The sequence below is a fragment of the Homo sapiens genome, chromosome 15 (assembly GCF_000001405.40).
Source record: "Homo sapiens chromosome 15, GRCh38.p14 Primary Assembly".
NCBI classification, from domain to species: domain Eukaryota; kingdom Metazoa; phylum Chordata; class Mammalia; order Primates; family Hominidae; genus Homo; species Homo sapiens.
In genome coordinates, this window is record NC_000015.10 from 82484517 (window position 1) to 82512458 (window position 27942).

Here is a 27942-nt window from a genome sequence, read left to right on the forward strand (position 1 = left end):
GTTTTATAGTAATTTTAGGGCCTGTGAGGATGAAGCTGTCTGTGACAGCTACCACAAAGGTTACTATAGGTGGACAAATTTCAAACAAGTTTATCACCACTACCATCCCCACCATAAAACTGTCTCAATCAAGGGCAACACAATTCAATATTAGCCAAGACAACCTCTTTACCTGTCACTGCTTAAGAAAAGGATTTTTGGTCTTATTTAGAAATAACTTTCCGTACCTATTTTTCTCCATAAATCCACTGAGACCAATGTGTGGCTCTATCGCAAGCACCAGCAAGCAAAACTGCCTGCTAGAAGGTTCAGTTTTTGTATCTTTCCAAATGTAGAACACAGCTATCTTCAAGGATTTCATAATTTTTTGAAAATTGATGCACAAACTTCTTGAAAGTTCAGAGACACAGCAGCTGTAATTATTCTGAAGGCTGGTTACGGGACACATTACCTTCATACTTTGCTGTTTAAGAAATGTGGGGTGGAGAATCAAGTAAACTGATAGAATTTCCATATAAAATTCTAAGTGCTCTGAGAACAAAAGAAACTTAAAATACACACACACACACACACACACACACACACACACACGGTTTTCCCTACTAATCATTTTACAACTAAACAACCAAGTTGCTAAACCAGAGCCCACAAAAGCAGAGTCAAAGTTCTAACACTTGGTAAAAGAAAAATGCACACATACCCCTGTGAGCTAAAAAAAAAAATGCTTAAGTATTCAAAGACAGCAATTACAGCTACTGAGAACATCACTGTAAGCAAACTGAGGCAGAGAAAACAAACGTGCTGATGAGGATTTGAACCACCTAAGCTGCAGAAACCCACTGGATGGTTTCCTAGGTTCCGAGTTGGCATTATCTTTCAGAACAATCTTCTAGAAGAGATCACATAACACTGTTACAAAGGATCTGGAGAAAGGGACCCTGGCTTCATCACTGTGGCTCTCCAGTCATGCTTTACATTTGGCAGTGACTATCTCCATTCAACTCAATTCCCTAACCCTAAACTAGCTGACATTTATCAAATACTGCCCTTTACCAGGTCTAAGTAAGTTTAACTCCCCCCACCCCCACCAAAAAAAAATCAAGATACTAAGGGATATACTATTCACAAAAGGGAAACCTGTCTCCTCTTCATATACCTGTTCCTTTCAAGGAAGGGTATAAAAATGGGGATGAGGGAGGATAACCACTAGGAATTTGACCCTATATTATAAATTGGTCAGATAAATGAAAATAATTCCTCTGGACTCAAAGTGATATGGCTCTGAAAATGGGAGAAACATCGGGGTCCTTTGTCTCACGCCAGTTAAACGACATGGACACACAGGAGTGGTTTTAAGGAACAGAAAGTTTAATAGGCAAGAAAGAAGAAAGGCTCCCTGCGGTACAGAAAAAGGGGGGTCTGAACAGAGAAAAAGCCCCGTGTGTGGCAGAACAGTACTCGGTTATATTGGGAGGCTGGAGGAGGTGGTGTCTGATTTGCACAGGGCCCAGGGCATTGGTTTGACCAGGCAGGTCATTCATGTAGCCCGAGAAAAACGTGGCCCTCCCACCCTAGCCTTTTAATATGCAAATGTAGGTCACCATGTTGTCCTGCACACATGGGGTCATCTGGAGGTGTCACCTTGAGGTGGTGACTAGAAGAAGAGGGTGGGAATCTCCATGTTGAATGGACACAGTTTCTAAGCGCTGGCATTTGCATATCAAAGCTTGGCAGCCTGTAGTCCCAGCTACTCAGGAGGCTGAGGCAGGAGATTCACTTGAACCTGGGAGGCAGAGGCTGCAGTGAGCTGAGATCACACCACTGCACTCCAGCCTGGGTGACAGAGCGAGATTCCGTCTCCAAAAAAAAGATAAAAAGAAAAGAAAAAGAAATGTTTCTGGAGTTGTTTCTATTAAAAGGGAAAGCCTTACTGAGGCCTCCTTACCCTCTCTATCTGCCTAGTATAATTTCTGAATAACTCCTCTATTAAAAGTACCACTGAGGTGCTTAATATGACATTTCTGATATTTCCCAATGCTCCTCCACAAATTCAATTTGGAAAGGTAATCTGTTCCAGGAGGGCAAACCAAAGAAAAAGTCCTAGGCTCCTGAGTCAAGGCTTGTTTCTTTCCTTTGTACAAGCTGACTACTTTTTAATCATAGTAAAAATGAGAAAAATGCAAGATGAAGTTAACAGCATTGCTTTATTTCCCATGAAAAGCTGTTATAAAGCATTCTCAAAATAAACTGTTATTCAGCCACAAATGACACCATCACTTTTTTATTCATAGGGCACAGTATCGCTGCCAAAGAGCTTTCCTCTATATGCTCTCTTGCAGGGCAAAAAATATTATCTATGTTATACAGAAACACAGTAAAAAAAGTGATTTACTTAAGGTCCTAACTACTAAATAAAAGCTAAACTACTCACTTCCTCCTAGATTCAGAGAGAGCTCCAACATTTTCTAAAATGTGGTATCTTGTTGTTGGGGTAGGCACTTTTTGGCAATAATGAATAGACATTTAATTAGCCAATCAAAAAAACTTATTAGGTACAGTAAGTTCCTCTTCAAAGGTTTAACCTGTTCAACTTCCTTGTTCTTTGTTCCTAAGAACAATTTCCCTGTACCTTCTCACCCCTATTTACCTGCTTAGTTATCTGCTCAGTTACCTGCCTTGTAAACAACTCTTCCCGTCAGTCCCAACCTGTAACTCACATTCCCTCTCCCTTCCTTATTAGGGAGAATATTCGCGATAGCAAATCAAGTCTGCTTAGATTGTGTAGTCCGACTCCAGCCCATGTGGAAATGATAGAGAGGTAGGGACTGCGTTAGGGATATAAACTCCTGCTCTATCCTGCTCGGTGTGCTCTTGCATTCGTGACTAATGCAAACAGCAGTCTTTTGCAGAAGTAAGTTGTCTTGCTGAGAAAACTTTTTTTCCTGAGTGCTGGTTCTTCCTTGCAGCACTGATCATTTGTTTCTTTTTTCTTTCTTTTTTTTTTTTTTTTTTTTTTTTGAGACAGAGTTTCGCTCTGTTGCCCAGGGTGGAGCACAGTGGCTTGATCTCAGCTCACTGCAAGCTCCACCTCCCAGGTTCACGCCATTCTCCTGCCTCAGCCTCCTGAGTAGCTGGGACTACAGGCACCCACCATTGCGCCCAGCTAATTTTTTTGTGTTTTTTTTTTTTTTTAGTAGAGACGGCATTTCACCATGTTAGCCAGGATGGTCTCGATCTCCTGACTTCATGATCCGCCCACCTCGGCCTCCCAAAGTGCTGGGATTACAGGGGCGAGCCACTGTGCCCAGCCTGATCATTTGTTTCTAACAATCTGGGGGCTCGTCTGGAATTCCCATTCTCCTCTGAGAAAAGGGTCTCCAGTCACCAATAGTGAGGAGAAGCATCCCACTGCCTCACTGAGGTGGCCTCATGGTGAGGGATCAGGACCCACCCAGTGTGATGAATAAACCCGGACTCTCAGCAGTCTGGAAAGGAACAGACCAACAACTTAAGAGAAAAGGATCCTCACATACCATGGTGACCAGGTAACTATGTGCACAGACCAACGTAAGAAACATCACAAGAGCGACAAAGTATTTTCTTGGTGGTTGGGATATCTTGGAGATTGAAAGTGTGTGTTGAGACTCACAATTGAGTGCAAAGCAAGTGTTCAGTCCAGATCTGCAGTTCTGTGGTCACCTTATACAGCTTAAGGTAGCCCTTCTGTAAAGGAGTCTGGGTCAGGGGTTTCTACTGAAACAGCCATTGCTAAGAGGAAACCAACGTTCCCATGAGGGAAGCAGCCAGAGAAGGATGAAGCGAAAGGAGAAAAGTGCAAGAAACCTCCAGCAGGGGGGTTGAGCCTCGGAAAGGAAAGGGAAAGGAAAGGGAAAGGGAAAGGGAAAGGAAAGGAAAGGGAAAGGAAAGGAAAGGAAAGGGAAAGGAAAGGAAAGGGAAAGGAAAGGAAAGGGAAAGGGAAGGGAAAGGGAAGGGAAAGAGAAGGGAAAGGAAAGGGAAGGGAAGGGAAGGGAAGGGAAGGGAAGGAAAGGAAAGGTGAGAAATCTCCAGTAGGAGAGGTTGAGCCTTATACAAACCTCTCGTAACTGGGAAGAAATTTCTAGTAGGGGAAATTGAGCCTCACCCCAATCCCTTTTCAAGATGGGAAATACCTCAAGTAATGCAGGGGAGAAAAAGGATAAAGCTAGCAACAATAACATTCCTCCTGATAGTCCCCTAGGGCTTATGCTAAAATATTGAAAAGAGAGTGAAAGGACTAAATACAAGAAAAAGCAGCAAATGATAAAATATTGTTGTTTCATTTGGACTCAGGAATCAATCCTGAAAAGCAAGTCAGAAATTAACTCCTCTGAGAAAGATAAGGTCCCTGTTCCTAGACAGCTCACCAACACATGGAACTTCCTCCACCACCTTCCCCCGTCCAATATCCCTAACCTCCTTCTCCCTCAAGCAGAAGCAGTTGTCCCAGACCCTTCTCCTACCCACATTGTTCCCCCTCTTTATAACCCTGCCTCTTGGGAATTGTCCCAACAGCCTGCTCACTATCACCCTAAGTACTCTTCCCTGAAAGGACTTCAGTGTGAGATAGAGCAATGTAAAAGGGATATTCAGAACTTCCCCTTCCCCTCTACCTCGGGAGAATTAGCTCCACCTCTCTTCCCCTGAAGAGAGGTGTCCCTACGAGGAGGAGGTATTCACTTTGTAAATGCTCCTTTAACCAGCTCGGAGGTCCAAAACCTAAAAACAGAGTTCAAGCCACACTATTAGACAACTCCAGTGGAATAGCAGATCGAATTAACCAATTTCTAGGACCACAGTTATATATACTTGGGCTGAGTTAATGTCCATCCTAGGCATCCTTTTCTCAGGGGAAGAAAGAAGCATCATCTGTAGAGCTGCTATGGTACCCTGGGAACATGAACACCCTCCTGGCCAAAACATTCATGCAGCGGATCAAAAATTCCCCAACCAAGACCCCTGCTGGGACAATAATAACGCAGCCCACTGAAGAGGATACGCAAGAACTTAGGGAAATGATAATAAAAGGGATTCGGGAGTCAGTACTCCGAACCCAAAATCTTACTCGAGCATTCGACATACAACAAAGGAAAGATGAAGGGCCTATCGAACTTTTAGACAGGTTGAAAGAACAAATGAGAAAATATGCTGGCCTAGATTTAGAAGATCCTCTTAGGCAGTGAATGTTAAAGCTTCATTTTGTTACTAACAGCCAGATATCACAAGGAAATTACAAAAGATAGGAAATTGGAAGGACCATCCCACGAACGAGCTTCTTAGAGAAGCTCAGAAAGTGTGTGTAAGGAGGGATGAGGAGAAGCAAAAAGAAAAAATGAAAATTATGTTATCCACCTTCCAACAGGGGGCCCCAAAGGATAAAACACACCAGTATTACTCTCTGTTACCCAGAGACCCACACACTCCCAAACAAAGCCTCCCGAGAGCCAAAACCTATAAAGATCCTAGGCCCCCACTTCCTAAGCCATATAAAGAACATAAGGAGACAAAGCCGAGAAACCCAAAAATAGAGAGAAGAGACAGAATCAATGCTTCAATTGTGAGAAAGTAGGCCACTTCAAGAGGTATTGTCCCAAATTAAAATCAGAAAGAGAAGTCGTCCCACTTACGACCTTTGAGGAGGAATAGGGGGGTTAGGGGCTCTGTCTCTTTTACCTTGAATCCCACCAAGAGCCCTTGATAAATTTAGAAGTGGAACCCAAATCCGAGCTTATGACCTTTTTAGTAGACTCAGGAGCAGCCTGCTCCTCTGTTTGTTACCTTCCCCCACAATATAACCTGGTCCTCAGAGGAGCTTGTAGTCTCAGGGGTAAAAGGAGAGGGAATCAAACTAAAAATTTTAAAAGAAACAGAAATTAGATGTAAAAACTGCTCAGCTAATGTTGAATTTTTGTTAATTTCAGAGGCAGGAACTAATCTATTAGGAAGAAACTTAATGTTAAAATTAGGTATAGGTTTACGTATTGGCTCAGAAGGATTCTACACTTCATTAAACCTGCTCACCACTGCAGAAGAAACATACATTCATCCTGATGTTTGGGCAAGGGAAGGAAATTGGGGAAAACTCCAAATTCCCCCTATACATATAAAGTTAAAAACCCCTGGAGAAATAGTAAGAAGAAAGCAATATCCTATTCCTTTAGAAGGCAGAATAGGCCTGAAACCTGTAATTGAAAGCCTCATCAAGGATGGGCTCCTTGAACCCTGTATGTCCCCTTATAACACCCCAATACTGCCTGTGAAGAAACCAGATAGGTCATGTCGACTAGCATAAGACCTCTGGGCCATCAACCAGACAGTCTAGACTACCCATCCTGTTGTCCCTAATCCTTAAACCATTCTCAGTAAAATTCCATATGAACATCAATGGTTTACAGTAATAGGTTTAAAAGATGCCTTTTGAGCATGCTCCTTGGATGAGGACAGCTGAGACATTTTTGCTTTCGAATGGGAAGATCCCCATTCTGGATGACAGCAACAGTATCGATAGACAGTTCTACCCCAGGGCTTCACAGATTCCCCTAATCTCTTTGGTCAAATTCTAGAACAAGTGTTAGAACAAGTTTATACCCCAAAATGTATATGTCTGCTCCAGTACGTAGATGACTTATTAATATCCGGTTAGGCTATAGAAAAGGTATCTGCTTTCTCCGTCCATATCCTTAACCATTTGTAAGGAGAGGGGCTATGGGTTTCAAAGAGAAAGCTTCAATTCATAGAGCCTGAAGTTAAATACCTAGGACACTTAATAAGTAACGGCAAACGAAGGATAGGGCCTGAGAGGGTTGAAAGGATTGTATCCATACCTTTGCTTAAGACTAAACAAGAACTCAGAAAATTCCTAGGGATAGCTGGATATTGCCGCTTATGGATTGACTCATATGCCCTTGTCATAAAGCCTCTCTACCTAAAAATCACCCAAGAAAAGCCTGACCCTCTCCTCTGGACTTCTGAAGAACTCCACCAGGTTGAGGAGCTAAAACATCTGCTTATAACTGCCTCTGTTTTAGCTTTGCCTTCCCTAGAAAAGCCATTTCACCTTTCTGTTAACATAAATAAGGGGGTAGCTTTAGGGGTCCTTACCCAAGAACACGGAGGTCACCAGCAACCCATGGATCTCCTATCAAAAGTTTTAGATCCAGTAACCTGTGGATGGCCTGAATGTTTCAATCCATTGCAGCTACCGCCTTGTTAACTAAAGAAAGCAGAAAACTAACCTTTGGGGGAAAGTTAGTTGTAAACATGCCCCATCAGGTTAGAGCCATCTTAAATTAAAAGGCAGGAAGGTGGCTTACTGACTTGAGAATTTTAAAGTATGAAGCTATCCTGTTAGAAAGAGATGATTTAACACTAACCACTGATAATTCACTTAACCCAGAGGTTTCCTGACTGGAGATCCAAATCTAAAGAGACCTGAGCATGAGTGTTTAGATTTAATGATCATACAAAAGTTAGGCCTGATTTAAGAGAGACCCCTTACAAAACGGGGCAGGGCTTCTTTATAGATGGCTCTTCCCAAGTAATTGAAGGAAAAAGGCATAATAGGTACTCAGTAGTAGATGGGGAGGCACTTGAAGAAGTAGAGTCAGGAAGCCTGCCAAATAATTGGTCTGCCCAAACATGTGAATGAATTGTTTGCATTAAATCAAGCCTTAAAGCACTTGCAAAACCAAGAACGGACTATTTATACTGATTCCAAGTATGCCTTTGGGGTAGCTCACACCTTTGGAAAAATTTGGACTGAACGAGATCTTATTAATAGCAAAGGCCAAGACCTGGGCCACAAAGAATTAATCACCCAAGTATTAGATAACCTGCAGCTGCCAGAATAGCTATTGTCCATGTTCCAGGACATCAGAAAAGTCTTTCTTTTCAAAGCGGAAGGAATAACCTAGCAGATCAAATAGCCAAACACACTGCCGTTTCCTCTGAAAATGTCTGTTTTTCACTTAGCCCCTTGCCTTCCTCCCTCGACTGCAGTCCCCATCTTTTCTCCCGCTGAAAAGGAAAAATTAATAAAAATAGGAGCCAAAGAAAATTCAGAAGGGAAATGGGTGTCACCAGACCAAAGAGAAATGTTATCCAAACCCCTCATGAGGGAAATTCTCTCCCATCTGCATCAAGGGACTCATTAGGGACCTCAAGCTAAGTGTGATGCAGTCCTCGGGGTCTACAGATGTATAGGAATTTATATTTTGGCAAGACAAGTTACAGATAGTTGCCTAGTATGTAAGAAGACTAATAAGCAGATCCTCAGAAAACCACCTGTTGGAGGGAGAAATCCAGGATTAAGGCTGTTCCAAAGTGTCCAAATTGATTATGCCGAAATGCCCCCAATTGGTCACTTAAAATATTTATTAGTGATAGATCACCTTACTCATTGGGTAGAAGCTATTCCCTTTTCAAGTGCAACTGCTAGTAATGTACTCAAGGCATTAGTTGAAAATATTATACCCAGGTTTGGATTAATAGAAAATGCTGATTCAGACAATAGGACTCATTTCACTGCACATGTTCTTAAGAAACTAGCCCAAGTACTAGATATAACATGGGACTACCATAACCCCTGGCACCCACCTTCATCAGGAAGAGTAGAAAGAATGAATCAGACTCTGAAAAACCACCTAACCAAATTAGTCCTAGAGACTCGGTTGCCATGGACTAAATGCCTCCCCATGGTCTTGTGAAGATTCCAAACTGCCCCTAGGAAAGATGTCGGCTCACCTCCTTATGAAATGCTGTATGAGTTGCCTTATCTACACTCCACTGCTGACATTCCTCGTTCGAAACAAAAGATCTGTTTCTCAAGAACTATATACTTGGTCTATCCTCCACTTTCTCTTTCCTTAGGACTAAAGGCCTCTTGGCACATACACCACCCCTTGAATTTCCAGTTCACCACCACCAGCCCGGACAGTGACCACATTCTCATCAAAGGTCAGAAAGAAAGGAAGCTCAAGCCCACCTGGGAGGGACATTATCTAGTGTTTCTAATGACTGAGACAGCCGTCCACACCACTGAAAAAGAATGGACTCACCATACCTGAGTCAAAAGAGCACCACCCACTCCAGAATCATGGACAGCTATTTCAGGGCCAATTCCAACCAAGTTAAAGCTAAAACGGGTTTGATCCTCTTATGCTATATTTCTTTTCCCCTTCTATTGCTAGTCCTCTCGTTATTAATGTAACTAGGTCGAGCTCACCCCAAACTATTACCTTTGATGCTTGCCTTGTTATATCCTGTGGAGATCTCCAAAGTCAAAAGCAACTCTCAGCCTCAGAGAAGTATCTCCGTCCCTTTCAGACAAAAGCCTCCCCCATTACGACTCTTGTTCCTTAAGAAATGTAGGGAAACAGGCCTGCCACAGCTGGAATGATATTATGTGGACAACTGAACATCAGGGCTTTGTCAACAGGCAGTTGTAAGTCTCTAAAACCATGTTTGCTTTGTTAAAGGAAACATTCCCCACCCCCTGACTGCCAGTATAACCAATGTAATCCAGTGCAAATTTCTATTCTTATCCCCACTTCTGCCAACCCTAAACCTACTTTAAGTCGCTTATACGGCATAGGAGCCAAAATAGCAGGGACACATCTTATAGAATCCTTTGAAATGCATTTCATTACTTTCTCACCTCCTCCACCTCCTTCTACACTCTCTCTCAACGAAACCGCTGTTCTTCCTTCAACCAAGGATAAAATCAAGGTAAGCCATTGTAGAAGTTAAAAATTTGAAACAAACCATAGCAACTGAGACAGGGTACCAAGATGCAAATGCTTGGTTAGAATGGATTAAATATTCTGTCCGCACTCTAAACAAAAGCAACTGTTACACTTGTGCGCACAGTAGGCCAGAGGCCCAGGTTGTCCCCTTTCCACTCGGATGGTCTTCCAGCCAACTGGGCATGAGCTGTATGGTAGCTCTTCTCCAAGACCCCACAGCCTGGGGTAATGAATCTTGCCAAGCTCTCTCTCTGCTATTCCCTAAAGTCCAACACCCTGCAGGTCAGTCCCTGAGGGCCATCCAGCCTCCATCTATTGACACCAATTTTTACCTCGGGTCTCTCACAACAAGGGGAAAACTTGGCATTTCATGAAGACCTAAAGGGATGCGGTGAACTTAAACTCTCCCAAGAGCTTACCAGTCAGTCTGCCCTTGTTCATCCTCGAGCATACGTATGGTGGTATTGTGGTGGACCCTTACTGGACACTCTGCCAAGCAACTGGAGTGGTACTTGTGCTCTAGTCCAACTGGCCATCCCTTTCACCCTAGCATTCCATTAACATAATAGAAGAGAAAATCAGAAGAGAAGAAGTGACCTTCATGGGTCCTTTGACTCCCACGTTTATAAAGATGCTACTGGAGTTCCACGAGGGGTACCAGATAAATTTAAGGCCCGAAATCAAACAGCTTCAGGATTTGAATCTGTGCTGTTTTGGTGGTCAACTGTAAATAAAAATGTAGATCGGATAAACTACATTTATTACAACCAACAAAGGTTTGTTAACTACACAAGACATGCCATTAAGGGAACAGCCTCCCAATTAGGTCCCATTAACTAAATAGTCTGGGAAAACAGGATAGCCCTAGATACGATGCTAGCAGAAAAAGGTGGTGTCTGTGTCATGATTGGAGTCCAATGATGTACTTTTATTCCTAATAACACAGCCCCTGACGGAACAGTAACAAAAGCTTTGCAGGACCTAACCTCCTTATCCAATGAGTTAGCAAGCAATTCTGGAATAAATGATCCCTTTACAAGTTTAATGGAGAAATGGTCTGGAAAATGGAAAGGCTTAATGTCCTCAATATTTACTTCTCTTGCAATCGTTATAGGTGTGCTTATTCTTGTTGGATGCTGTATCATACCATACATTTGTGGACTACTGCAAAGACTCATAGACACAGAACTTACCAAAACCTCTCTTAGCTCTCCTCCACCCTATTCAGATAAGCTTTTCCTTCTAGAAAACCAAGCAGAACAGCAAAGCAAAGACATGCTAAAAAAGTTTGAAGAGGAAGAATTACAAAAATTAAGAGGGGGGAATTGTTAGGTACAGTAAGTTCCTCTTCAAAGGTTTAACTTGTTCAACTTCCTTGTTCTCTGTTCCTAAGAACAATTTCCCTGTACCTTCTCGACCCTACTTACCAGCTTAGTTACCTGCTTAGTAACCTGCCTTGTAAACAACTCTTCCTACCAGCCCCAATCTGTAACTCACATTCCCCCTCCCTTTCTTATTAGAGAAAATATTCACAATATCCAGCTGAGTCAGCTAAGATTGTGCAGTCCTACCCCAGCCCATGTTGGAATGACACAGAGGTAGGGAGTGCATTAGGGATAAGAACCCCTGCTCCACCCCGTTTGGTGTGCTCTTGCAATCATGACTAATGCAAGCAGCATACTTGCAGAAGCAAATTGTCTTGCTGAGAAAACTTTTTTGCCTGAGTGCTGCTTCTTCCTCACAGCACCGATCATTTGTTTCTAACAATCTCGCTAAAAGCAGCCTAGAAAGCAGCCACTTATGCAGAAAGAGTAATAATTTATGCTCTACAAGTCATATAAAAAATGAAGTTTCATTTGTTTACCGGCTAATTTACTTCCTGGGAGACATTTTTCATTCTAAAACAGTGATTCCCTACCAAGAGTTCATAGATGCCAAGAAGTCCATAAAAGGCGTAATGGAATTGCCAAATTATGTTAAATACTTCAAAAGGACTCAAAGCCATATACTAGTTCCCAATAGGCCTGCACAAGTTATTAGAACAAGCTGCTTTGCATTCTTGTGTGATCAGAACCAGTAACTAGATGGCAATCAGGTCTGTTACTGAAGATGGAAAAACTATACTTAAGTTTGTATAACAATCTTTCATAACATGGCTTCACAGAAAAGAAGTATAAAAAGGATTCCTTGGTTGAAAAAGAGTGCTCTTTTCCCTTCATTATTTAAGATTAGGACAAATTTATAAAACAGGAAAAAAATAGCACAAATCCCTTGGCAAACAGAGTAAAACATCTACTCTGTTTTGCTTTTTTTCACTTCTTACACTCTCTTTCATAGGAAGTCAATTTACAGACTTCCATCAAGCCCTTAGAGACCTTTTTGTACTATCCATGACAAGCTCTTGATGTTATCTCTGCACTTTTGACAAATTCTTAGCAGTTAACTTACAAGGCAGTTAAGATTTTTGTTCAAGCACAATATAGCTAGAATAGGCTCATACATTCAATAAAACAAATATTTACCAAGCATTTATTGAGTGGAAGATAAAAAGCACAAAGCATAATTATAAAATATTTTCCCCTGCCACCATAAAAAAATTAAACAGGCTTACAGAATACAGTGTAAGAAAACATGACCAAAGCAAAAATAGTAAGGACTAAAGAAGGGAGGAAGGGGAAATATCAACATGGACTGAATATGACCCAAAAGAGCCTTGATGGATGGTCAGACATGTAAAGGCAAATTGGTTAGGGTTAAGGGGTGGAGGTCAGGGCACGTTCTATAGGGAAACGGCAGCTGATACAGAAGCCTGAAAGGAAAAGCGGGCAGAGCACCTGGACAGGCCTCTTCAGGAACGAGCACGCACGTGCGTGAAAAACAACTTAGTGAGGTACCGTTCACCCAAACATTAGAGAAACCGCGTAAAAATGCTTCTTGGTAAGCATGAAGAAGGCAGGGCTCGCCCTGTAGAAGAACTCAATAAACATTTGAACTGTCTAAAGAGTAAAAGTTAATGAATAGGCCAAACTCACTCCTTTCTTTGTTTTAAGAGCTACAACTTTAGAGAATAACAAATCACAAACCCAGTAGACAGGTCCTGGCATTTCAAATCCAACCCCATTTTTCCCTTAATCTTTCCCCTCTGAGCAAATGGTATCGACATGAACAAGCCATGTTGATTTGATCAAGACACTCATCCATGGTTAAAAGAGTCTTTACCTTCAAGAGATACAAACAGAAATATTGACAGATGAAGTGATCTGTCTGGAATCTGCTTCAAAATAATCCAAAGTGGAGTATAAATGAAATAAGATTAGCCAAAAGTTTATCATTGTTGAGGGTGGCTACAGTACATAGTTCAACTTTTGTTGAGGCCAGGCATGGTGGCTCACACCTGTAATCCCAACACTTTGTGAAGTGGAGGCAGAAGGATCACTTAGCCCAGGAGTTCGAGACCAGCCCGGGAAACACAGGGAGACACCGTCTCTCCAAAAAAAAAAAAAAAAAAAAAAAATTAGCCACCATGATGGTGAGTGCTACTTGTGAGGCTGAGGTAGAAGGATCACTTGAGCCTGGGAGGTCAAGGCTGCACTAAGCTGTGATTGTGCCACTGCACTTCAGCCTGGACAAAAGAGTGAGACTCTGTCTCAAAACAAAAAACAAAAAAAAAAAAAAAAGAAAGATGGAACATATTATAACTGTCAGACCATTTGTTGCAACCTGGGCTGCAATCTTTTTCTTTAAACCCAAAAGAACTTCTGACCAGGTAAATGTAGTCTTTTTTTCTTTTTTAATGACAAATCTACTTTATAAAGTACCTTCCCTTATCAGTGAGAAAGAAAATATAAAAGAGCTGAGTCAAATCTGGAGTCAATAAAGGTTTGTAGTTCTTCAAACAAGAACCCTTGCTCTGAATTCTAAAAGTAAATAACAGACATGCTGAAAAAATATTTCATTTTATGAAAGGTTCTGCACCAAAGCCTTTTACAAAAACAGTCTACAAAACCTACTAAACATCCTGTTCCATCTTCCACTTTGAAATCACTGCTTGGTCTAAATTCAGTTTCATTAATAAAAATGAACACAATAAAACAGTACTCTATGCCCCCATTCCACCCCAACAATTATCTTCAAAGGATGTCCAGATTTCTGTACGCTATTTGCCAATCCTACCTACATATTAAAAAAACAAATCTCAGCTTTAGAGGAAAATCACTGGTTAATTAAAATGTCATTTAGGGTTGTATTTGTTTTCTATGAAGGGATAATAATGGGATATTTTATTTTCATTTATTACTAAAGCAACACCTTTCATTATTAGAAATGTATTTCCATTTCAAGCTACGTTTCAAAGCAAATTATATTCTTCAACTAGCCACTTTCATAGGTATTTTGAATGCATTATTTTATTATAAAGCCTTGGCTGGCCTCCAGTGTTAATTAGCACAAAAAGATGGGTTTATTTTCAAAAGACAGGACATTCTTTTCAGCCTTCAAAATGTTTTCATCAAAAATTACTATGTACCATAAAAATAACACGCTCACTGTAAACATTTAAGCGATTCAAAGATAAAGTAGAAAGTCAAAGTCTCCACCTACCTGCCCTCTAAGATGTTAATACTTATGCTTAACATATTTTATTTTTTAAAAGGAGGGGAAATCACATCATAACTACTTTAAAAGGCCTTTACAACTTCTTTGTAATTACACACACACACACACACACACACACACACACACACACACACAGAGTGGGGAAGGAGAGGGAGGGGGTGGGGGAAGGAGGGAGGGACAGACAGACACATACACTTCAATGTAAGGCTTATTATAAAACGTACAAAAAAGGTGAGAAAACAGAGATGGGTGGGAGACGGGCCTGCAATTTCAATATCTGAAGTCAAAACAACTTATTAGGAGATAATTTAGAATGCTTCCTGTCAACCCTATTTGGGGAAAATATTGATTTGATAAAAGGTTACGGACTGAAATCAAAAAGTAGCTGCCTTTTGAAGGTCAATTAATCCTTTGGTTTTAGGAAAAACTAAAATGTTACAAAACACACACAGTGAAACACACAGAGAACTCAAACTGACCTAACTACATTTATCCTCTCCTTCCCAATTATCCTTTATCACTAATTTCCCCAAACTACTACTCTATTAGTTTCCTATTGCTGTTAACAACAAATTATCACAAACTCAGTGGCTTAAGACAACACAAATTTATTATCATGTTATCATTTCTGGAAGTCAAAAGTCCAAAATGACTTTCACTTGTTTAAAAATCAAAGTGCCAGCAGGGCTGTGTTCCTTCTAGAGTCTCTATGTGGAGAAAGTGTTCTTTTGCTATTTCCAGCTTCTAGAGCTGCATTCTGTGGCTCATGGGCTCCTTCCTCCATGTTCTAAGCCAGCAGTGTAGCATCTTCAATCACCTGACAAAATCCAACACGTTTTCATCATAAAAATGGTCAAAGTAGGAATAGAAGGGAACGTCCTCATCTAACAAAAGGTACCTGTGAAAAACCCACACCTAACAACATCATACTTAATGGGGAAAGCTTGGATGCTTTCTCTTTCAGATCAGTAGCAAGACAAGGATGTTTGTGCTCACCACTTCTATTCAATGTTGTACCAGAGATGCTTCTCAGGGCGATTAGGCAAGAAAAAGAAATAAAAGGCATCCAGATTGGAAAGGAAGAAAACGATCTCCAACTACTTCATCCTGTACATAGAAAATCCTAAGGCATCCACTTAAGAGCTGTTGCCAAACAAACAAGCCAGATTATAGTCTATAATTGACCTCTGAAACAAGGCTACAGTTTCAGAGACCGGTATGCAAAAATCAATAGTATTTCTATATATAATCAATGAACAATCAAAAACTGAACAATTAAGATAACAAAATTAACAATCGCATCAAAATGAATAAAATCATAAGCAACAAATTTCAAGAAAGTACCAAGTTTATACAATGAACACTACAAAACACTGTTGAAAGAAATCAAAGACAACCTAAATGAAAGGAATCAAATTCAGCATCCAGAAAAAATTCCTCACATTTATGATCAATTTCAACAACGATGCCCAAGACAATTCAATTGGGGAAAGAACAGTCTTTTCAACAAATGCTTCTGGAACATCTAGAGATCCACATGCAAAAGAAAAAAGTTGGACTCTTCCCTTACAAAACACACAAAAATGAACTCTCACATTACATACCTAAATGTAAGAGCTAAACCTATAAAATTTCTAGAAGAAAACATAGGAGTAAATCTCTGTGACTCTGGGTTAGGCAAAGAATTGTTCTTAGATATGATGCCAAAAAAAAATCAACAACAGAACATTATCAAAACTGAAAATTTTGCTTGAAAGGATAGCATCAAGGAAGTGAAATGACAACCCACAGAATGAGAGATAATTTTTGCAAATCATGTATCTGATAAGGGACCTGTAGTCAGAATATGCAAAGAACCCTTACAATTCAATAAGACAACCCAATTTAAAAACAGGCAAAGGATGTGAATAGGCATTTCTCCAAAGATACGGAAAAACGGCCAATAAGCACATAAAAAGATGCTCAAAATCATTTGCCATTTGGGAAATGCAATCAAAACCACAATGAGGTATCACTTCACGCCCATTAGGGTGGCTATAGATCAGAAAGTCAGATAACATGTGTTGGCAAGCACGTGGAAACACTGAAGTCCTTACACACTGCTGGTAGGAATGTAAAATGGTGCAGCCACTGTGGAAAACAGTTTTCCAATTTCTCAAAATGTTAAACACAGTTATCATACACCCAAGCAATTCTACTCTTAGGTATATACCCAAGAGAAATGAAAACATATGTCTTCACCAGAACTTGCTGTTCACAGCAGCATTATGCATAATAGACCAAAAGTGGAAACAACTCAACTGCCCATCAACTGGTGAATGGATAAGTAAAATGTGATGTAACCAGTCATTGGACTGTCATTCATTAATAAAAAGAACAAGGTACTGATTCATGTTCTAACATGAGTGAATCTTGAAAACACTATGCTAAATTAAAGAAGCCAGTCACAAAAGGCCGTGTATTGCATGATTTTATATATACATGAACTTTTATATATATATAATTATATATATTATATATAATTTTATATATATAAATTTCTATATATAAATATATAAAATCATATATCATATATGATATATATTTTTTCATATACATCATATATATTTACAAAAATTATATATCATATATCATATGATATATGATATATATCATGATATATATGATATATGATATATATCATATGAGATATATGATATCATGAGATATATGATATCATATGATATATATGATATAGATATCATATGATATATATATAATATGATATATATGATAGATATATTATATATGATATATATGATAGATATCATATTATATATGATAGATATGATAGATATCATATTATATATGATAGATATGATAGATATCATATTATATATGATAGATATGATAGATATCATATTATATATGATAGATATGATAGATATCATATTATATATGATATCATATATATACCACATACATCATATATACATCATATATACATCATATATATCATACATATATATGAACTTTCCAGAATAGGTATATCAATAAAGACAGGAAGTATACAAGTGGTTGCCACAGCCTGAGAGGAGCAGGGAATGGTGAGTGACTGCTAATGGATATGGCACTTTTTTTGGGGGGTGATGAAAATGTTCTGGTCAGACAATGGCAATTACAAAACTGTATACACACGAAAAACCAAAGAATCACACACTTTAAAAGGGAGGATTTAGCTCGGCATGGTGGCATGCGCCTGTACTCCCAGTTACTCGGGAGGCTGAAGCAGGACTGCTTAGAGCCCAGGACTTCAAGGCTGCAGCGAGCTATGATCGCTCCACTGCACTCCAACAAGGATGACAGTGCGAGACCCGTTTTCTAAATAATAATAATAATAATAATAAATAACCCAAGGTACCCAGTTCACATGCAAAACCACTGGTAAACATAAATTATCTCCAAGTAATCTAGAAAGAAAATGAGCACATAAGACGTCTTCTAAAAACACACATATATTTCTTTACATGTTACATTTAACGTAAAAATCAGCTATGCAGAAGTTACATGAACATTTTATGTTGGAAAGGTAAATGACTATTATTAATACAGAATGGTTAAGTACATTTATGTTTTTATGTACAAACGCATAAAAGGAAAAGCATCCTTAAAATAAACACCATCAATGGCTCCTCGGTGGTCACAAAACAAAATCCTCACACCTTTGTCTTCCTTCACAATTGAGCTTTATCCACCTTTTCAGGCTTATCTCCCATTATTACCTGACACAAACTTGGGTGGGCCAGAGTTTCCACTGACCATCCCCCGACTATTCATCCAACACTATGTTCACTGCCTCCCATTCCTGACCATTTGCCTTTTGTCTTCAACTAATTCTGGGGACGTTTTGTCCAAATAAATGATCCATATTCTTGAAGGCTGGAATCAAGTCCTATTACAAATATATTTTCTCACCCTCTCCAGAGCATAGCAACCCAGCATCTACTGGCCTCTCACAGCTCTAACCATCCACAACCCTAAGCTGGCTTCTCATCAAACGGGTACTTTTCACCACCCAAATTCAATTAATTCACTCTTACAATAATGAAGAATAGTCGCCTACAGCCTACCTTTTCCAGCCTTGATTCAATCATTTATCAATTTTATCTTCAAAGTCCCTCACTTCAGGGAGATGATATATCAGCTTTCACCCAGAGTCCTAAAGAAAACAGCACTCTTGCCAATGACATAGTGCCACCTAGTGGCAACATAACGTAAATCACAGTGGCAGTAGGAGGATCTCCACACTACTTTTACAGGAATGCACTGCAGGTAAAAAATAAGAAGCTACAGTACTGTTTGGCAGGACAATTTGTTTCATACGTGCATACTATCGCCCTGACTAAATTAACTCTCAAGTCTTACAGGTATTATTTGTTTTCAGTTCCATGCACAGATTAGCCATTTAGTACTTACTAAATCAAACTCAATTTCTGAAGTGTCTTACACCAATATATTCATGCACATATGGTTAAAATTTTCCTTGAGGATCTATCATGTGAGAGTGTGGCTTATTATAACAAGTAAACAGAACAAATAAATACAAAATGAAAAGAAATCGTATGATTTACTCGCATATAAGGGAGCTTGTTGTGGATTAAGTTTCATGACCCAGGACACTGAAACAGAAATGGAATAAATGAGAATAAAATTAAAAGTTGTCATCAAAAATATAGAAGCCATCTAAAGACCTAGGTGTCAAGCATAGCTCTATGAGTACAATCCCGTGCCTGAGATTACCATATGCCCAGCTGTATGCTATACACTAAGAGATTTAGGAAGGAAGCGGGGTCAGGGATTGACCCCAGACTCCATCTTTTCAAGTGGGGAAGAAAGATCTTCCGATTGAAAAATAAAGGCAAAAAAGGCTTCACCGTCACAGAAGTTTCAACAACCAACAGGATATTTAAAACAGTTATCAAAGCAAAACCATTGTATGTTCACTTACATTTTTACATAGTCCCTCAAACTCACAAAATGCTGTTTACTCAGGGACTTCTTCCGGTCTTACTAGGGAGCCTGGAAAGTGAGGGGAGGATTGCAAGGGACCACTAGAACCCTCTTCCTCAATTCCCCTTCTCTGAGAAGGGAGGCTACAGCTTGCCTCTCTAACCACTAAAAGGCATGACCCTCCTCAAAGTTAATAGCCGGATTCCCTGATAGATATTTTCACTAAATGAATTCTCATAAAACTCTCACTAAGATTTAGAGAAGGCTTCCAGGGTTGAATTCCTGAACATTAAGAACAGCATGTTTTTTAAAAGTTTAACTTGGTGATTGGACCAGGACTTCATCTAGGCTATGAATGCTCAGAATGGTAGGTCCTTTACCAAACAGCTTGAGTTTGTGTATAAAGTGATCTCATCCTCTTAAGAGTCAGAGAAACAGAACCAAGCGACTTCACTATAATTTGATCTGAGGAAGTTTCTTACTCACAATAGGTAAATGAAGGCACATACTAACCAGCAATATAAACAACAATATCAAGTGTCGTTCACACATGCAAAAAACAGACAAAATCCCAAACTCTGTGTTCTAACAAATCGCAAAAACCTCACTAACAATAAATTGAAATGACCAAATGTTTGGACTGAAAAGCAATGCCTTGGTAGCCTAGCCATGCCTAACTCAAATAACAGAACCATCTCGATGTTAAAATCCTCACAGATCAAGCTGTGTATGTCTCGGGTCAAGACTTCGCCAAAAAGCAGTGAGCACACACTTAAGAGGGAAAAAATCTACCTCAGCCTCCTAAATGCAATCATCTCTACACGAGTTGCAGGCCCCAAGCTTCAACGTGTTCTGCTGGACAACGCAGTAGAAAGCTGACAAGCAGGTGGCCTTCCCACACTGACTGAACCACCTCCATGCCCATGTCCATTCATTTTCTTGCCCACCCCATGTGCTATAACAGACCTCCTGGCTCAGGGCACTCTTTCCTTCCTGACTGCCTTCACTTAATGACTTTGTACTTTTAGGTGCAAAAATTATCTGCAGAAATCCACACTGAAAACCAAGCTTGAGAAAGGCAGCAATAACCAACATTTTTACAAGAAGAACAAGGTCAATATCAAGCCCATCAGATTCAAATAGCAAGCATGGATGAAAATGAAAGATTGAAAGGCTTGAGTGCCTTCTTAATGTATTAAATATCCATTTAATTTACAATTAAGCTCACTGTGCTCACTGGCCTTTTAATCAGCTTTCCAGGTCCTGCTCAGACTTGCCTAGGACATGGGAATGAAAGAACCTATACATTTATGGACCAATCTACCTTAACTAACTTGTCAAGTGTTCCTGCATCAAGCAGAAGAAACATCAGTGAAACTGATACAGGAATTAACCCCTTGTTAATCCATAAAACTTAAAGGAGCGGGATCCAATCTTCTGGCTTCCCTGGGCCACGCTGGAAGAAGAATTGTCTTGCGCCACACATAAAATACACGAACACTAATAATAGCTGCTAAGCTTTAAAAAAATTGCAAAAAAGGAAAATCTCATAATTTTTTGTTTGTTGTGAGGTGGAGCCTCACTCTGTCACCCAGGCCGGAGTGCAGTGGCACCATCTTGGCTCACTGCAACCTCTGCCTCCTGGGTTCAAGCCATTCTCCTGCCTCAGCCTCCCGAGTAGCTGGGATGATAGGCGTGTGCCACCATGCCCAGCTAATTTTCGTATTTTTAGTAGAGACGGGGTTTCACCATGTTGGCCAGGCTGGTCTCAAACTCCTGACCTCAGGTGATCCACCCACCTCGGCCTCCCAAAGTGCTGGGATTACAGGTGTGAGCCACCGTGCCCGGCCAATGTTTTAAGAACGTTTACGAATTTGTATTGGGCCACATTCAAAGCCTTCACAGGCTGCATGCAGCCTGCAGGCCGCGGTTGGACAAGCTTGGATTAGAGAAATCTACAGAGACAAACTAGTGACTTAGTAGCCCTCTGATAGCTCATGATTTGCAAGAAACTTAGGATGACTATGTGTAAAGACCACAAACATCAATTTAACTGAATGGTTCCCGCCACACTGGAATGAGGAAGCTGAGCAAACTCAGAGGACTCTAAGAAAGGGCTGATGTCATCTGAACTGTTCGGAATTATAAACTCCTCTAAACATGTTTCAAAGCCAGAACTTGTAGGAGTTGTTCTGATACACGGATTAAAAGAGGGATGACAAAGTGTCTGTCCCCCACACTGGTCAAAGGGACAGGTCATTGTTATGCTGGCAATGCAGGCTGCTGAAAAGAATGTATCTGTCAAAAGTAATCAAAGTAATGACCCCAGAAGGCTCCAGAAACAGACTGGTAAATTCAGGTTGCTTTCAGACTTCCACAATGCTGGCACACAAGGGGAAAGACAAAACTAACATTTACAGAGCATTATATTTGATATTACATTTAATCCCCATTAAAAAGATACTATTTCCCGTTTCACTAGTGAAAAAGTTGATCTTTCAAAGGTTAAATTATTTAACACCAAGGTCAAAGGGTAAGTTGGAGAGACCAGATTCAAACCCAGTCTGACATTAAAACATGTGTTTTCCCCCCACATCGTCTCCTGCTAATAACCTCAAATCTAAAAACTGACTTGCCCTACACCTTGAGCCCCATCCTACAAACTCTCCCTGACGTTATTAATTCAGCTGTCACTGTGCACCTACAACGTGCCAGACACCATACTCCTCAACACTCTGTAGGCACAGAAGGAACAGATAAAAATCCCTACCTTCATAGATATTATTCTAGGGGTAACACAGGTAAATAAAACATTAAAATAGTTTTCACATAGTAGCAAATTCCATATAGCAAAATAAAACAGAAGAAGGAATAGCAAATGAGGGAGATGCCCTCTTAAACATGGTGCTGAGGGAAGGCCTCCCTGAGAAAGATATCATTTACCCCAAATATAAAAAAGCAAGTAATAGAAAAAACAGGTAAAAGGTGTTCTAGACACTTAAACCTGCCACATTGAGAACTCAGGGTTCTGATGCAAAACCTCGCTGCATAGAATGCATTAACTTATTTTTATACATTTAAACAAACAAACTCTACTTAAGAACTGTGTTCTAAAGGAAGGAGCATATTACAGGAAGGCAATTTTTGGTCAGAGTAGACACACTTAAAAACTAAACCTATTGAAAGACCAAGAACAACTGAAAGTCTTTGCTTTGTCAGATTTTTGACCAAAAGGAAAATTAAAGAAACACACCGTGCCCATCCAATGATTTCACCAAGGAATTTTAAGAGAGAAAATCCTACTTCTTCCTCACCCAGTAGCCAGTGAAATGACTGAGCAAATTCACAAGTTCACTGGGGCTGCTTTCATGTAACACAGGGACAACACATGACAGACACAGTGGAACCCTACAGGTTGCCTAGTATTTGAAAGACTGTGAAGAGGAGGAGATGTCAAAATTCAAAGTCTTAAATGATGTAGTTTTAAGTATGTTCAGCAATTTCACCACTCAGTAGTAAAGCCAGCTACAGTTGAAAGGAATCAGAAATTTGAGGGGTGTGAAATAAGCAGAAGCACAGAAGTTAAGGATTTGTATTCTTCCCACATTTTCCACTTTATTTTATACTGCTGAGAAAAAACAAATTTAATAGTTTTCTGCTGTATAAGAGAGACACATTCACTTTATGTCACAGTAAGAGTCACTCAATTTTAATACAACTATCTCAATGTATAAATTAACATTCTCCCCCCTGCCCACACATAGTAAGTCTCTTATGATGTTGCTGATTAGAGAAGCAAAAGTTGCCGCTACAATTCTCTTCCTGCATTTTAATATAAACAATCATCAGTCTTTTCTTCATAGAGTGCAGTGTGGGCACTATCATCAGAATGTACCAGCACTGGGTGTGCAAAGTTTACAAAGATTAGCAAGAGCAAAAGTGTTGAGATTTTTGAAATTCATGCTGCTGCAAAGAAGTATGTAAAAACTCACTCACCATAGAGGACCACACAGAAACTCAGGCATGAAGTTATATGGCTGTGTGAGTGGTTTGGGAGAAGGAACGGAAAGCACTTCCACCAACCTATATGCCTGAGCAAATTAATGCAAAACCTCAGAAGCTACAAAAAAGTTTATCTACCTAAATTAAAATTGGTGTCCACAGCAGTAGCCAGCAAAATGCCTGCGAAGCGCAAAGTGGTAAATATTTTAGGGTCTGTAGGTCATATGGTCTCTGTTAAACAATATGTAAATGAATGGGTGTGGCTGTGTTCCAATAAAACTTCATTTATAAAAAGAGGCAGCATGGTACATCCAGTCAGCAAGCTATAATGTACCAACCCCCGGTCTAACACTAACCAAATACCTCTTAATAAGCCAAAGAAACTGTGTCCTCTTAGGCCGGAAGCGGTGGCTCACACCTATAATCCCAGCATTTTGGGAGGCCGAGGCGGGGAGATCACCTGAGGTCAGGAGTTTGAGACCATCCTGGCCAACATGGTGAAACCCTATTTCTACTAAAAATACAAAAATTAGCCAGGCGTGCTGGCGGGCGCCTGTAATGCCAACTACTGGGGAGGCTGAAGCACGAGAATCGCTTGAACCCAGGAGGCAGAGGTTGCAGCGAGCCTAGATCACGCCATTGCACTCCAGCCTGGGCAACAAGAGAGAAACTCCGTCTCAAAAAAAAAAAAGGAAATAAAAGTATACAAAGTGAAAACAAAGAAATTAAACTGCCCTTATTTGCCAGTGACATTACTGTCTATGCACAAAATTCCAAAAATCTACAAAAAAGCTTCTAGTACTAAAAATGAGTTTAGCAAGGTTGTAGAATCCAAGGTCAGCATATAACATAAAATCACCTTCCTATATACTAGCAATCACCAACTGGAAATTGAGAAGTATCATTCACAACAGTACCACAAACATGAAATAAATGTGTAAGATTTCAAAATACAAGCAAGATCCAACTGCTAAAAACTACAAAACACTGACGAAAAATCTAAGAAGGTCTAAATAAATAGATATACCATGTTCATGGCTCATTATTAAAATGTCAGTTGCCTCCTAACTGATTTCCAGTTTCAATGCAATGTCAATCAAAAACCCCAGCAGGCTCTCACGCCTGTAAGCCCTACACTTTGGGAGACCATGGTGGGAGGATTGCTTCATCCCGGGAGTTTGAGACCAGGCTGGGCAACATAGAGAGACCCTGTCTCTACAAAAATAAAAAAATTAGCCAGGCATGGCGGTGCATGCATGTGATCCCAGCTACTTGGGAGGCTGAGGTGGGATAATCGCTTGGTTCAAGGCTGCAGTGAGCAGTGATCCTGCCACTGCGTTTCAGCCTGGGCAACTGAGTGGGACACTTTTTTTTTTTTTTTTTTTTTTTGAGACAAGGTCTCGCTCTGTCGACCAGGCTGGAGTGAAGTGGTGCAATCTCGGCTCACTGCAACCTCCATCTCCTGGGTTCAAGTGATTCTCCTGCCTCAGCCTCCCAAGTAGCTGGGATTACAGGTGCCCGCCACCATGCCCAGCTAATTTTTCTGTTTTTAGTAGAAACGGGGTTTCACCATGTTGGCCAGGCTGGTCTTGAACTCCTGAACTCAAGTGATCCACCCGCCTCGGCCTCCCAAAGTGCTGGGATTACAGGCATGAGCCACCGCACCAGGCCATGAAACACTTTCTTCCACCCACGGCTTTCTCTTCTCTCCCCATTTACAGCAGTAAGACAGCCTAACCTGGGAAAGAGAGAGAGAGGGAAGCTACTTCCAAATGGATGCCTGTCCCCATCAGTAATAACCAAGTCTATTCAAGTGCTAGATGTTAACTTTAAAAGAAGGAAACATCAAAAGTCCAAGTTTCAGCCGGGTGCAGTGGCTCATGCCTGTAATCCCAGCACTTTAGGAGGCTGAGGCGGGTGGATCACAAGGTCAGGAGTTCAAGACCAGCCTGGTCAATATGGTGAAACCCCGTCTCTACTAAAAATAAAAAATTAGTCAGGCATGGTGGCGTGTGCCTGTAGTCCCAGCTACTCGGGAGAGGCAGAAGATTCGCTTCAACCGGGGAAGCAGAGGTTGCAGTGAGCCAAGATCGTACTACTGCACTCCAGCCTGGGTGACAGAGCGAGACTCCGTCTCAAAAAAAAAAAAAAGTCCAAGTGTCTTCGCCTAGCTTTGTCAGGAATGTTTTTACCCTCAGTCTGTAAGTGTGACCAAATATATTTTTTAAAGGTTTACCCTCAATCTGTTAAGTTCAAAGGTTTACTATAATCTCTTCATAAGAAAACTATTGGAAAGATGGAATAAAATACACAGAAATGTCCTTAACAGGTAAATATTTATTTTTCTTTCTTATTATTATACTTTAAGTTCTGGGGTATATGTGCAGAACGTGCAGGTTTGTTGCATAGGTACACACGTGCCATGGTGGTTTGCTGCACCCATCAACTCGTCATCTACACTAGGTATTTCTCCTAATGCTATCCCTCCCCTAGCCCCCCAACCCCCAACAGGCCCCAGTGTGTGATGTTCCCCCCTCCCTGTGTCCGTGTGTTCTCACTGTTCAACTCCCACTACAGGTAAATATTTCTAGAATGTATCTACTCCATCAGCTAGTGTAAGTATTCTAAACTGTGCTAGTATAGCTGCTTTAAATCCTGCTTTCTTCTGCAAATGGTGGCACCTTTAAAGTGTTATCTTGAAGGGGAAGTGAGTGATTTGCTCATGTCTCTACTGAACTAACACTGTTAACACCCAGTCCAGTTCTACCTTAAACAAGTCGGAGAAATACAGACATAATCCATACTTGTTATTTGTCAAGACTAAGGTAAAATAAGGAAAGTTGGAACTCACTCATATCCTCTTATGACTGATGTACTGAAAACAATCCATCTCTCACCATTTCCTAAATAGCATAGTCACAAAGAGCTCTACCCTACCAAGTACTCTGCAAGTCCCACTCTCAAAGGAAGACTCACAGGTGACTGAGAAGATAAATTTGCTATTGTTTCCATTATCCTTCAGTTCATCTGACACCTTTGAAGAAATGCATTTGGATAAGACTCACAAGTCTCAGGGCCCCTTCTTTATGAAAGAAATAGCTAAGCCTCCATACTCAGAAGCATCAGACTTTTCAGAATGCTTAAGTCATGTAAAAACGTATCAAAATTATTATCATTACAGCTACCAGGAAATAGCTACCTACTCCATGTTAGATACTGCAGTTAAGTATCTCACACAGTTTCACTGATTTCTAACAACACTGCAAAGCATGTTACTAACCCTTAAGGAGTAGGAAGCTGAAGCTCTGAGAGGCTATGCAACTACTCAATGGAAATGTGGGGATGTGAACTCTACCTAGCTCCAAAGGGCGTACTTTTTTCTAAAATTTCTAATTTTTTTCCAATTTCACAATGGAGGCAGAGTTTTCACTACAATTTTAATAATTTCACCAGCTGGGTGGGGTGGCTCACGCCTGTAATTCCAGTACTGTGGGAGGCTGAGGTGGGAAGACGGCTTGGGTCCCGGGGAGACAACTGGGCAACAGTGAAGATTCTGACTCTAAAAAAAATAAGAATTTCACCAAAAGGGGGGACAGATTTCTAAATCGGAATCTCTTGTTAAAATCCTTAGAGCACTAGTTAAGCCCCACTTCTTTTCAAAAAATAACCGACAGATTAAAAAAAAGGTTAGAAATCCTTTTAAAGTAAATTTCATCAGAGATCTGCAAGTGAATTGTCATTTTGGACAAGTCCCCAGAGTTGGTGGCCCTCTCCTGTGTACACCAGCTACCACTAGGCAGTAAAAGTAATTTACCCAATTCAAACACATACCGTGCCTGCACTATGTTAAGACCACTGGCAAAGAGGGTACAAAGTTAAATAAGGTCTATCACAGCCCTCAAGGAGTTAAAGGACTAGAGGAGGAGTCCATTTATAGTATAGTATGTGTGCAGTTACCATTTAGTCAAGGCAAACGAACTGTGAGAAATCCTACAACAATAGTACCTACAGTATAACATGCCATCACCGCCCACAGAAGGAAAGCAACTGGTGCCCTCGTCACGTTATGTTGTTAGTACTTGCTTACATGATGTCCCTCCCTGACAATCCCTTCCAACCTCTGTCAGCCTCCTTCCCCACAATCACACACACACACAAAACCACACTGCCAGGAAGGGAAGCCATTGAGTGAGTATTGTGAATCCTACAAGTGGCTCTGTAGTTTAAAAGGGCAATGCCTGTGCCTGAAGAAAATTTGTCTTTAGCTTCATCAGGTGAAGAAAATTGGTTTTATAACACAAGGCCCACCAAACCAGAAAAGCCCAGGAACGCTTCTCCACAGGACTCACTTAGCACGAGAAATCACTCAGAGCAAAATGACGCACACAGTATTTGTCAAATTTTTCTTTTTCATTTAGCAGAAGGTAAGGTAAAAGACTACAACTGAAGTTAATAAATGACACTCTAGCCATTTTGATCATTTGTCACTATAAATGATAGACATTTAAGCTAGTTCCATCTGGGGAAGTGAAACAGAATCATGTTCATATAATAAGCC

At 40.4% G+C, this 27942-nt stretch overlaps 1 long non-coding RNA gene and 1 pseudogene across 4 annotated transcripts in view; one reads left to right on the forward strand and one right to left on the reverse strand.

The window, feature by feature from the left end:
* The window catches only part of GOLGA2P10 (GOLGA2 pseudogene 10), a 42523-nt pseudogene that overhangs the window by 13040 nt on the left and 1541 nt on the right, over window positions 1–27942 (reverse strand). The gene's annotated exons all lie outside the window — the stretch shown is intronic.
* Window positions 3237–9190, forward strand: LOC105370926 (uncharacterized). The gene is made up of 2 exons (XR_932534.3): window positions 3237–3545; window positions 8905–9190. It is a non-coding gene; the product is annotated as an uncharacterized LOC105370926 (long non-coding RNA).